At 53.8% G+C, this 12,894-nt stretch overlaps 1 protein-coding gene across 2 annotated transcripts in view; it reads right to left on the bottom strand.

Annotated features, from left to right (window-relative positions):
- The window catches only part of CDHR2 (cadherin related family member 2), a 53,464-nt gene that overhangs the window by 2,026 nt on the left and 38,544 nt on the right, over nucleotides 1–12,894 (bottom strand). For both annotated transcript variants that reach the window (NM_001171976.2, NM_017675.6), the window contains exons 17-31: nucleotides 12,367–12,606; nucleotides 9,690–9,759; nucleotides 8,934–9,539; nucleotides 7,924–7,995; nucleotides 7,107–7,156; nucleotides 4,767–4,918; nucleotides 4,511–4,619; nucleotides 4,333–4,421; nucleotides 3,803–3,871; nucleotides 3,619–3,696; nucleotides 3,464–3,524; nucleotides 3,262–3,386; nucleotides 2,626–2,739; nucleotides 2,465–2,545; nucleotides 1,169–1,226 (exon numbers count right to left, since the gene is read on the bottom strand). In NM_001171976.2, coding sequence (NP_001165447.1) covers nucleotides 1,169–1,226; nucleotides 2,465–2,545; nucleotides 2,626–2,739; nucleotides 3,262–3,386; nucleotides 3,464–3,524; nucleotides 3,619–3,696; nucleotides 3,803–3,871; nucleotides 4,333–4,421; nucleotides 4,511–4,619; nucleotides 4,767–4,918; nucleotides 7,107–7,156; nucleotides 7,924–7,995; nucleotides 8,934–9,539; nucleotides 9,690–9,759; nucleotides 12,367–12,606 — 1,974 coding nt within the window. The remainder of the gene's footprint in view (nucleotides 1–1,168; nucleotides 1,227–2,464; nucleotides 2,546–2,625; nucleotides 2,740–3,261; nucleotides 3,387–3,463; nucleotides 3,525–3,618; nucleotides 3,697–3,802; nucleotides 3,872–4,332; nucleotides 4,422–4,510; nucleotides 4,620–4,766; nucleotides 4,919–7,106; nucleotides 7,157–7,923; nucleotides 7,996–8,933; nucleotides 9,540–9,689; nucleotides 9,760–12,366; nucleotides 12,607–12,894) is intronic.

Genomic DNA, 12,894 nt, shown 5'->3' with positions numbered 1-12,894 from the left:
TCCTAGCATCTACCCAGAGGCCTCCAGCGCTGCCTGGCTGCCTGCATTACCACCCACACAACCATACCTGGGGCCTGTCCGGAGGCCTCTGTGCCAGATTCCCTGTACCGTGTTATACCTGGGCCCCTGTGCGACATTCTACCATTTTAAAGACCAAGAGAGGCTTCGGTTGACCAAATCTTTCCATGTAAGGAGTCCTCAGGGAAAACAAATTCTGAACCATGAAGTCAGGTTGGGAGCCCCTAGTGGCCTGGGACCCAGCCAAGCCCAGAACCCAGACTGGGGGAAAATGTGGGTGGATCCCCCGCAGCACCACACACAGAACCTCAGCCTATCACAGCTCCAATGGGCCTTAAGCGTCTCCTCCAGAGGTGGCTTTCAAAGTGGGAAGGAGAGAGGGCAGTTCCTTCTGTTTCCAGAGAGCCACCCCTCCATGTCCAGGACCCACCCCACACTCAGCCTGCTGACCCGCTCCAGCGGTGTCCACCGTGCCTGCACCTTAGCACCCCCTGAGCGGCTTTTACAACAGGTCCATGCCCAGGCTCCACGTGGGCCATCAGAATCAGAACTCTTGGTCTTTAAAATGCTAGAATGTTGCACCCATGGACCTGGGTGTGACCTGGGCATCAGTATTTTTCAAGAGCTCCTCAGGTGCTTTTACGCAGCAGGCCAGTCTATGAACACTTGATCTCATCCAACCAACTCACCTGTTTAACAGATGGCGGTACTGTTGTTTATTTGAACCCATCTTCTCTCCTTTGCTAGACTATGCTGGTTCACCTCTGGATCTGCTTTCCCACCCCCAGCTGGCTTTCCTATAACGGCCATAAAGGGCTGGAAGCAGATTGGTGAGCACTTGTTTGTGCCAAGTGGTTCTTATGCCTGCCCTTATTTAATCCTCACAATGGCCCTGCATGGTTGATGTTCCCATCCCCATTTACAGGTGAAAAAACTGAGAAGCAGAGGCAAGAAGTCTCTCAGGGTCACACAGTGAACCAGTGGAGGAGCAGGAATTGGACCCCATTCCAAAGCCACAGGGCTTCCTGGGGCCTGGTGCAGAGAAGCAGAACTGCCCATGTCAGTAGCAGGTCCCTTGAGCTCTGCCCTGAAGCCTCCACAGAAGAACCCAAGTTGGAACCTCCAGGCACCAATTCATCCCCCATCTTGCCTTGATTTCCTGACTGTTCTTGTCCACATCCACAGAGTTGTCGTCCAGGGAGTTGACGCTGTAAGAGAGGTGATGGAGCTCAGGTGTTGGCAGGCCCAGTCCTCCCTTACTGTGCCCAAGAACCACCACCTCCATCACCACCATCACCATCACCACGACTACCACCATCATCACCATCACCACCACCACCATCATCACAACTACCATCATCACTACCATCAGCACCATCACCATCACCTCAACACCAACACCACCACCACCACTATCATCATAATCACTATCACCACCACCATCACCATCACCTCAACACCAACACCACCACCACCACCGTCATCATCCATCATCACCACCATCACCATCACCTCAACACCAACACCACCACCACCATCATCATCATAACCATCACCACCACCATCACCATCACTACCATCACCATCACCACCATCACCTCAACACCAACACCACCACCACCACCATCACCATCACCACCATCACCATCACCACCATCATCACCTCAACACCAACACCACCACCACCATCATCATTGTCATCATCACCATCATCACCACCATCACCATCAGCACCATCATCACCTCAACACCAACACCACCACCACCATCATCATTGTCATCATCACCATCATCACCACCATCACCATCACTACCATCACCATCACCACCACCATCACCACCACCACCACGATAACTGCCACCACTACCATGACCACCATGACCACCACCATCACCATTGCCACCACCATCACCCACCACCACTACCATCACCACCATCACCTCAACACCAACACCACCACCACCACCACCGTCATCATCACCATCATCACCACCATCACCATCACAACCATCACCATCACCTCAACACCAACACCATCATCACCACCATCACCATCACAACCATCACCATCACCTCAACACCAACACCATCATCACCACCATCACCATCACAACCATCACCATCACCTCAACACCAACACCACCACCACCACCACCATCGTCATCATCACCATCATCACCACCATCACCATCACAACCATCACCATCACCTCAACACCAACACCATCATCACCACCATCATTGTTGTCATCATCACCACTGTCACCATTGCTACCATCACCATCACCTCACTACCATCACCACCACCACCATAACTACCACTACTACCATGACCACACCATCACCATTGTCATCACCATCATCACCACCAACACCATCACCACCACCACCGTCACTACCTGTACCACCACCACCACCTAGCCTGGCTGTGAGGGGCACTGCTCACCTGACAGAGTCCAGGTCATTGGAGGGAGAGAGGTACTCCAAGCCCAGGTCTTTGTTGGGGAGGTTCAGCATGGGGTTGGCTCTGGAGAGAAAGCCTGGTCAAGTTGCCTGGCCCTCAGCCACCCCACCAGGCCTCTTACCTACCCTTTGACCCCTGCTCACCGCTCAGTGTTGTACATGTTAGTCCCTGGGATGGCAGGGGCTGAGGGCATCACCCCTGCTGCTGTCTTCCTGGCCTCCTTGGCAGCCTTCATAGCTTGAAGCTTCCGGTTGTAGCTGTGGGGAACCGGAAGAGGGGTCACACTGTTGCTGCACACCTGTTGTGTCCCCAGTGGAGGCCCTGAGCCTGTGGCTTCACAAGATCCCGGGAGGTGAGTGTTAGCTCTATTTTACAGAGGGTAGAAGTAAGAGCCAGAGAAGGCAAGTGATTTGCCAAAGGTCAAATAGCCAGTGACAAGGCTTGAAGTCAAGCCCAGATACGGCTGCTGACTCTATACATGTTGGAAAAAGCAGCAGCATCTATTAAACGCATAGTGTGTGCCAGACGTCTAGCTGGGTGTGAGATGCATGTTACTTCCTTGAGTGCACTGAGGAATCAAGTCTCATGCCCTTTCACAGATAAGGAAACTGAGGCCCGTGGAGGGGAGGTGACTCACCCAAGATCTCGCACTGGGTCACTGGGGAGTGAATGCATGTATACCTGTGCCTAAGCCCCAGCTCCTTCTACCCCTACCCCCCGACGTCTTGGGTGGTGGGAGAGGGTGAAGGTTGGAGACACGGGGGCAATGGGAGCCGCACCTCTTCCGCACACACACGAAGGCCATGGTCATGATCACAAGGACCAGCAGCAAAGCCACTCCCAATCCTATGATGACACTGATGAGCTGTTTCGACAGGTCTGACTCCTGGCTCTCCTGGGAGCCCTGGAGAAAGATGAGTGTGAGGGAAGCACACTCGTCTTCAGCAGCCCCACCTGCTGCCCCGCCCTGCCCGCACTCACCAGCACCACCAGCCCCAGCTGCAGCAGCTGCGTCAGCGAGTCCTGATCATTCCGGATCATCCTGGCCACAGAACTCCACTTAGGCCCGAGGGACCTTGGCACACCCCAGGCTTCCTGCTCACCCTCACACCTGCCCCAAGGGCAGCCCCACTCACACACTCAGCTCATCAAGGGTCAGGGCTGACCCATTGGGGAAGACAAAGTAGGCATCGAGGTAGGAGTGAGGTCGGGCCCTGGAGCGGGACAGAGTTGAAGAGTCAGGAGCCTGGATCACCCAGCAGGCCCCTCCTGCTACCGCTTCTCCCCCTCAACCCCACCCCCAGGCCTCTGGGCACTCACCGAGCTGCAGAATCTATGTCCTGAATGTCCACAATGTATACTGTAGTCCTGGTTGCCTGGGTAAGAGCCCTGCAAAGAAGGCAGATGTCACAGAGGCCTGGGGTCTTAGCCTGGGCCTGTGGCCAGGGCTGTGCCAGTGGGATTAAGAATTGTATGAGTGAGAAAGGGCACCTCCTCTGGACAGCTCTGTTGGCTGAGTAGGTAGCATCTCTGTGAAAATTACAAAAGGAAATCCCTTCCTCTGGGGCTGGGTGAATAGCTTAGCAAGCAGAGTGCCCTTGTGCAACACACAGCCTTCACAACTGTACACGGCAGCCTTGTTCCAAGGCTTCCCTCTGCCCTTGGCTGGGTATGGGCTTCTGGGGACATGCAAGAACGTCGTGCAGGTGAAAGTACAGGGTTGAAGACAGGGACAAGGTCAAATGTGGGTCAGGAACAGGATTGAGAGACATCCCATCCAGGTTTTGTCGGGGACCAGGCTCCTACACCCTGTTCTTCCTACCCCTCCCTCCGGGGCTCCCCAGACCTACGCATTAATCGCCTGTCTGTTGGCGCCCACCTCCTCCTTCGGTGTGGAGAACTGCAGCCGCGAGCGGTAACTCTGGTCCACGGTGAAGAGCTGGGAAGGGGGTGTGCAGGAGATGAGGCACCAGGGACCCTGGGGGCTGGCAGAGGGCGTTGGGGGCTGGAGGTGGGACCAGCACTCACATTCAGGGTGGTGGTGGCTTCCAGGAAAGGACCCAAGGAAGGTCTGTCCCTGGCCTGGACTGTCACTTGGTAGGTGCCTTGGAGAGTGGAGTCGAGGCTGGTCACCGGCCTGCGGAAGGCGGGAGGCGCAGGTCAGTCTTGGAACCCAAGCTGAATCCTCAGGACCCTTGTAACCTCCAGGATGGGGGACTTGCTGCCTGAAAGCTCCTATCGGGCCCCTCCCCGCAACCTCCCTCCCGGGGCCGCCCGCAGTTACTGAATGCTCCCAGCGAACACGTCGGCCTCGGAGGAGGTGAAGATCGAGAAGACACCCTGGAAAGGGATGGTGGCCCCGTCCTTAGAGATGAAGTCTACTCGGAGGATGGAGAACAGGATGACGCCATTGTTCCCTGAATCATCGTCTCTGGCCTGGGAGCAAGAGTGGACAATATCTGGGGGCCCAGCCAGGCCAGGCATCCCTCCACCCCAGCAGGGATCAGAGGCAAGGGTGGCCTGGGAGGCTGGCCCTCACCGTCTCTATCCGCCATCCCCACGCTGCCCCGAATAAGCAAATGGTTTCAAAAAACAGTGTGTCTGCTCTGCAAATCCAGATTTGGACAAGAACCTGCCCCTGTTCCCCAACTCCAAACAGATCACTGCCCTAAGTCCCTCACATGTGGAAATCCTGCCCTGCTCCCCCTACACCCCTCCACTGCCATACTCTCTCTCTCTCTCACACACACACACTCACACACACAGTCTCTCTCACATACACACCCTCTCACACACACACACTCTCACACACTGTCCCACTCACACTCAGTCTCACCCTAACACACACTTACACACATATGCACACACACTCATACACACCCTCACACACACTCTCACACACTGTCCCACTCACACATACACTCACTCACCCTAACACACTCACACACATGCACACACTCATACACACCCTCACACACTTATCCTCTCACACTCACATACACTCACACACCCTCTCACACTCACACACTTATCCTGACACACACACTCACACCCTCACTCTCTCATGCACTCACCACACACTCAATTCACACACACTCACACAAATACACTCAATTCACACACATTCACACACTTGCACAGTCACACACATACACACCCACAATCACCTACATACCCACACACTGTCACACACATTCACATACACTCACTCACCCTTATACACACCCTCAGGCACACACATTCACACTTAGACACACACACACTGGCGTGCACACACACAGCGATGCTCAGATTTCCTAAGCACCTCCCCTGGGATCCCTCATTTCCGTGCGGGGAGTACCAATTCCCCTAGTAGACCATGAAGCTGGTTGGGGAGGGGACACAAGCATTTTTATTCATTCTAGTGCCTTTTAGAGAAAAATTTAACCAGCACACAGAGCTTCGAGTTCACCAACGTTACTGTTAAGGATAGGCCAACACCAGTGCTTAGGTCTTAAAAAGGAATCTATTTAAAGAAAATTGCCGTGGCTAAACTCTTGACATTAGAACCAAATTGGCAGAAGATTGGGAAGCTGTCTTAAGACTTGAAAGTCACACAGTCACTGTCTCTAGCATGAACGTCAACCTAGAGAGGGAGAATTACTATCCCCATTTTACAAGAGGAAGCTGAGGCTCCGAGAGACCCTGTCCTTACACTCGGCTCTAAGTGGGGAAGGCCAGCCCTGTCCATCTCTTGTACCCATGTCCTTTCCAAAGCATAGGGAATGGCACCCACATGCCACCTTCTGGGAACTGCTAGCTTCTTGTTGAACAGGGAAACGGAGTCCCAGAGAGGGTAGGCAGCTCTCCAGGTCAGTAAGAAGCCCAGCCAGGCCCAGCCCTCGGTGGTGTGGGAAGCCTCATCCCCACACGGCATGGCCACCACCCCTAATAAACTTGCCACATCCAACACCATAAACAGCTGAAAGCCTTTTTATGACTTGGCTCCAATAATTTATTTATTTATTTATTTTTTTTTGAGGCAGAGTTTCACTCTTGTCGCCCAGGCTGGAGTGCAATGGCGTGATCTCGACTCACCGCAACCTCCGCCTCTCGAGTTCAAGTGACTCTCCTGCCTCAGCCTCCCAAGTAGCTGGGATTACAGGCATGCACCACCACACCCAGCTAATTTTGTATTTTTTAGTAGAGATGGGGTTTCTGCATGTTGGTCAGGCTGGTCGCAGACTCCCGACCTCAGGTGATCCACCTGCCTTGGCCTCCCAAAGTGCTGGGATTACAGGCTTGAGCCACCGTGCCCAGCTGGCTCTGAGAATTATTTAATGACAAGGCACTGGCTTAATTTACAATTAGCTATGAGTTCTCTGTATTACTCAAGAATTCTGGTATAGTAAGAAATATCTGGACTGCAAGTGGTATTTACGGTCATGACATTTTTATGAATGCTACATTTATCACAGTGAAGTTTGATTACATTGATTAGACAGGTGTTGGTTTCCCTTCTGGGGTTTTCTTTTTCATGTGTTGGAGCCCATATATTTTCTTTCTACCATGGAAGGCCTGAAGGCCTCAGCCCTGTGTCCCCTGGGGCTCATATGACCAACAAAGGCTGGAGCCAAGAACTTACCCGGACAGAAGCCACCTCCCGGTTGGGCAGCACGAGTTCAGGGATGATCACTGCAGGTGTGAACGGGAACGGGGTCAGCGGGGTCGGGACACTGCCCACCTGGACCAAGGCTGGTCACGAGCCCAGCTCAGGGCTCATCCCCCTAAACCTGCCCTCAACCTCTCTACCAAAAGAGACCCCTATTACAGCCACCACTGGGCCAGTAGTTAGCAAGTCATCCACCTCCCATTGTCACAGGTGAGGTCACAGGCCCACAGGACCATGCGGAAATGGAGGCCCAGAGAGGGAAGTCCTGGCCCAGGGCCAGACATTAGGTCGGACAGAGCTGGAATGAAAACTCCAGTGTTGGCTGGGCATGGTGGCTCATGCCTATAATCCCAGCACTTTGGGAGGCCAAGGCGAGCAGATCACTTGAGGCCAGGAGTTCAAGACCAGTCTGGCCAACACAATGAAACCCTGTCTCTACTAAAAATACAAAAATTAGCCAGGTGTGGTGGCGCATGCCTGTAGCCCCAGCTACTCTGGAGGCTAAGGCATGAGAATTGCTTGAACCTGGGAGGCGGAGGTTGCAGTGAGCTGAGATCGTACCATTGCGCTCCAGCCTGGGCGACAGAGCAAGACTCCGTCTCAAGAAAAAAAGGAAAGAAAAAAGAAAACTCCAATGTCCTCTCCTATTGCAGCCCTAGGAAGATGCAGGATTAGAGGCCTTCCCCCCTTTCTAAAGGCTCCCCCTGGGGTCCAAGGAGGGTCTGTCGGGGTTGCTCAAAGGCGGCCTTATGGAGCAGGGGTATGGTGTGTGAATGGGGTTGCTGCTTACCAAAAGTCTTATTCTCAGGCAGAAAATAGGGTGCATTGTCATTCACGTCCTCAATGGTAATGAGGAGGCTTCCTAGGAGACAAGGTCAGCTGGCTTTGGCTCTGGGCAAAAGCTTGACCCAAAGAGCCTGGGCCTCAACCCTGTGCCCCACAGCCTCAACCCCATGCCCCGCAGCCTCAACCCCGTGCCCCGCAGCCTCAACCCTGTGCCCCGCAGCCTCAACCCCGTGCCCCGCAGCCTCAACCCCATGCCCCGCAGCTTCTCTCCCATGTGTTCCCCCATGCTCAGTCCCCTTCCCTGCTCCTGACCCAGAATGCCTGATCGGTCTTCTCTGGCCTGTGTGGGTGGGAGTATCATCCCAGACCTCAGAGCAGATAAGCAGCTTGTCAAAGTCACACAGCAATAGTGGTGGGCCAGGATTGGGCCCAGCCTAGGTAGATCTCACCTATGACATTATACTGACACATTCTAACTATATAAGCTGGTTGTTTAAATACCCACTTTCTGCCTCAGTTTCCTCATCTATAAAATTGGATAGGGAACACCTACCCCATGGGTTGTGTGGAAGTGGAAAAATTCTTACAAGGTGCCTGGTGTAGTTCTTGGCTGTCATAAGGACTCAATATATGCTAGTTGTTAATGTGATTATTATTGCTATTTGGTGTCAGAAGTGGGATACAAGCACACATCTAGCTCTGCAGTGTTATCTTTCTTTCACAGCATCTTGTAAAATAATGGCATTAATTTGATGCTACTGCATGCCAGGCACTGCAATAAATGCCATACATCCATATTCTCATTGAATCTTCACAGCCCACCCCACTGCCCAACTCCACTGGACAGATGGGGAAACTGAAGCTTGGAGAGGGTTTGGGACTTTCCCAGTATTTGCAGCTGGAAAGGGCTGGAGCCAAGATCTGAGCCCAGACCTTGTGAGTTCCAGCCCAGGGCTCCTTCCCGCGGCCCCTAAGCTATGGCCTGCCAAGCCCTGCAAGGACAGGCTGCCTTACCATTGTTGCTGTAGGCCTGGAAGCCGGGGTCCGTGGCTAGGTCACAGGCCCGCACAACCAGCGTGACCAGGTCACAGGCCTCGTAGTCGATGGCTTTGCTCTGGTTGATGTACACAGAGCCGTTGGCCGCCACTGAGAACCAGCCCCAGCATAGGCTGCCCACATCGACCCCGGCCTTGGTGCAGAGAATGTTCACAAGCTGTATCTCCAGCTGGGCACTGGTGTCCACATCCGAGGCAACCACCACAGCCACCTGGCCGTGCTGTGAGCCATTCTCAGCCACACGGATGCCCCGGAGTGAGGCTACATCCAGGGTGGGGGGATTGTCGTTCACGTCTTTCACATTCACGCAGACGTCTACTATGGTCTCACCCCCCTGGGGGTCTGGGTTCTCAGCACTCACTGTCAAGTTGAAGACGGGCTGTGTCTCGTAATCCAGGCTCACGTCCGGGGGCAGCCGGAGGTAGCCCTCAGCCCACCCAGCCCCCAGCACCAAGCCTCGGATCATGAAGTAGTTGGCACCACTCCCCGACAGGCTGAAGCTGATGCGGTTGTTGGCTTCCGTCTGGTCCGCGTCCCAGGCCTTCACCACGCCCACTAGCACTCCTGTGGACAAGGGGCAGAGCTCAGAAGGACTCCTGACCCCGCCATCGGAAGCCTCCTCTGCCCTTGCCTCTCTTGGAACTCGAGGTCCACCCTGACAAAGCCACACTGGGTCCCAGCCGCAGTGTCTCTCCTGGCCCAGGGAGCACATACCTGGATCCTCCTCCTTCACCGTAAAGTTGTAGCTGGACTGATTGAAGATGGGCAGGTTATCATTGATGTCCTGCAGTCAGAGACAGGTCTGAGTCCCCGGGATCCAATCTCACCCTCCCCAGAGCCAATCCGAGAAACCAATAATCCCTGTGCTCCAAGGCATGGACTCTACTAGTGCCTCAGACCTCACTGCCCACTTCCCAGATGAGGAGACAGGCTCTGAGAGGAGGGAACTTGCCCAGGTCACACACCCGGGGTTCAGGGACCTACAGTGGGACCTTGGCCTTACACATCCATCCTCAGGAAGCCCTGCTTGCTTCCTGTTTCTCTGACCACAGCTCAGGACTTGTTCTAGACCCTGCTTTCTAGAAGCACAGTTCTGGGTCCCCACCTGCGACCCTGCCTGGCCCAGCTTGACTCCCATCTCTCGGATTTATTGTGTTGGCACCAATACCATTATATGTCCACAAAGGCTCCAAGGCCCACACTTTCCCTTGTCCCCTCCTACCCCTGTCCCTCCTGCACACAACTGAGCCCACAACACCAGCTCTGTGCTCAGTCAGAGCTGGGCTCCGGGGACCTGCAGAAGCTTAGACCTGCTCCTGCCTCAGACACCAGCTGTTTTTGGCTCTCACCTCTGTGGCCAGCCCTAGCCCACTGGGCACAGCTGGAGCCCTGCAACTATTGTCACAGCCTGGAGGTGACTCTGCCCTCCCCTATGTCTCCTAACACTGGCATGTGCTTGGGGGATGCCCTGAGCACTCCAGCCCTTCCCAGGTTTGTGGGTCACATAACAGGTGTTTGTTTTTCTGAATAACCCTAGAATGAACATTTGGAAGACAACATTCTTGCACCTTAGCTAGATGTCTTTTCTGCTGCTAATTTCCCAGCGATGACATCATTGGCTCCACGCACAAGACCAGCTGCATTCTCAAGGTCACCCTAACTCACAGGAGTGGATAAGAGCACTGAGTCACATCTTGCTCCACCTCTGCCTCATGTGTGACCTTGACCTCTCTGGACCTCAGTGTCCTCATCTGCAAAATGGGGTAGTAGTCCCCACTAATAGGGCAATTGTGAGGACGGCTCACAGGGGTGAAGAAACCTGTTCACTCAGGAAATGAAGTTCTCTCTTTGCAGCCCTCCCACCCTAAGGACAACCAGCAAGTCCTCATTCTGCTTCGTTTTCTTCATTTCTGAGGTCTCACTCTCTGACCCTTGTGTGAAAATGGCACATCCCAGTCCAGGGGACACAGGGCTGCTATGTGCAGTGGTGCAGGCTGTGCACTGCACAACCCTATGGGGTGCCATCCACATCACAGACACGGCAGAGGTGCACATTTGTCACAATACTGTTCCAGAGGAAGGTGCCTTGTGGGCTGGTGGCAGCCTTAGAACCAGACTGATTGAAGTCAAAACCCAATTTTGTGACCCCCAGGCAAGGTACTGAACCTCTCTGTGCCTCAGTTTCTTTTTTTGAGACAGGGTCTTGCTCTGTCTCACAGGCTGGATTGCAGTGGCATGATCATAGCTCACCGCAGCCTCAACCTCCTGGGCTGAAATGATCCACCTGCCTCAGCCTTCCAAGTAGCTGGGACTTCAGGTACATGCCACCATGCCTGGCTAATTTTTTATTTTAGTAGAGATGGGGTCTCGCTATGTTGCCCAGCCCAGTCTCAAACTCCTGGGCTCAAGCAATCCTCTCACCTTGGCCTCCCAAAGTACTGAGGTTTTTGGCATGAGCCACAGCAACTAGGCCCGCCTCAGTTGCTCAATCAATAAAACGGTAATAAACCGGGCTCAGTGACTTATGCCTGTAATCCCAGCATTTTGTGAGGCTGAGTTGAGAGGGTCGCTTGAGGCCAACAGTTCAAAATTGGCCTGGACAATAAGTGAGACTCTGATTCTATGAAAAATAAATTTTAAAAATTAGCCAAATTAGCCAGGCATGGTGGCACGCATCTTTAGTCTTAGCTACTTAGGAGGCCAAGGCGGGTGGATCGCTTGAGCTCGGGAGTTCAAGACCAGCCTGGGCAACATGGAAAAACCCCATCTCTACAAAAATAAAAAAATTAACCAGGCATGGTGGCATATGCCTATAGTCCCAACTACTCAGGAGGCTGAGGCAGGAGGATCGCTTGAGCCTGGGAGGTTGAGTCTGCAGTGAGCCATGATGGCACTATTGCACTGCAGCCTGGGTGACAAAGGGAGACCCTGTCTCAAAAATAAATAAATCAATAGATAAATAAATAAAAACAAAATGGTAATAACCATCCCAACCTTGGCGGATGCCCTGATGTGCAATAGACACCAGCAATGCTGATTTTCACCCCTTCCCTTTGCTTTTCAATGGTGGCAGGGAGACAGGAGGGTTTCAGGTGGGACTTTATGAGTGACAATTAGAGCTGATATTCACTGATACTGTCTATAGGTCAGGCACTCTACCAAGCACTTTCCATTCATTAACTCACTTAATCTTTAACCTTTTTCACCCCCGTTTTATAGATGAGGAGCCTGAGTGCCTAGGGAGGTTGAGTAATTGCCTGGGGCCATACGAGTGAGCGGGATTGTAACCCAGGCAGGCTGGCTGCAGAGGGCAGAAGTGTGACTCAAGCTGGAGGGGCTGGCTATCGGCTTGGGAGGCCCCCAGGCCCATCCTGGCTAAGCGAGGCCTTACCTCCACAGTGATGGTGACATTGACTTTGGTGCCGAGGACAGGCTCGCCGCAGTCAGACACAAGCACTGTCAGCACAATGCGGCCCTCCAGGGCGGGGTCGATGGCCTCTCTGTCCAGGGGCCCCAGGTTTCTGAGGAGCCCTGTGTCAGGGTCCAAGGAGAAGTTGTGGCTGTAGGGGCCAGGCAGCAGGTTGAAGAGCAGACGGCTGTTGTTGGTGCCCGGCTCATCATTGTCGTGGGCCTGTGCACGTAAGCAGGGGTTGGTCATCGGCCATCGGCATTCCCAGCCCCCAGCCCCTCCGATGCAGCCGGACCCTCCTCTCCAGCGCTGGCCCACGCAGGCAGTCATCAGGCCTGGAGCCCCTGGGCCCATCTCCCAGCCCCAGTTTCCCATCTAAGAGGCTCAGGTCAGCAGTTTGCAAGAGCTTCTGAGATCTTCAGCACTGAGGCCATTCTTTCATCTCACAAACGGCCACTGTGGACCTACGTGCCCAGCCCCGTTCCAGGTGCAAAGAAAGAATAGAGCCAT

The sequence above is a fragment of the Homo sapiens genome, chromosome 5, assembly GCF_000001405.40.
Source record: "Homo sapiens chromosome 5, GRCh38.p14 Primary Assembly".
NCBI lineage: Eukaryota > Metazoa > Chordata > Mammalia > Primates > Hominidae > Homo > Homo sapiens.
The sequence above is the reverse complement of the archived record's forward strand: the minus strand, read 5'-3'. Positions and strand labels throughout refer to the sequence as shown.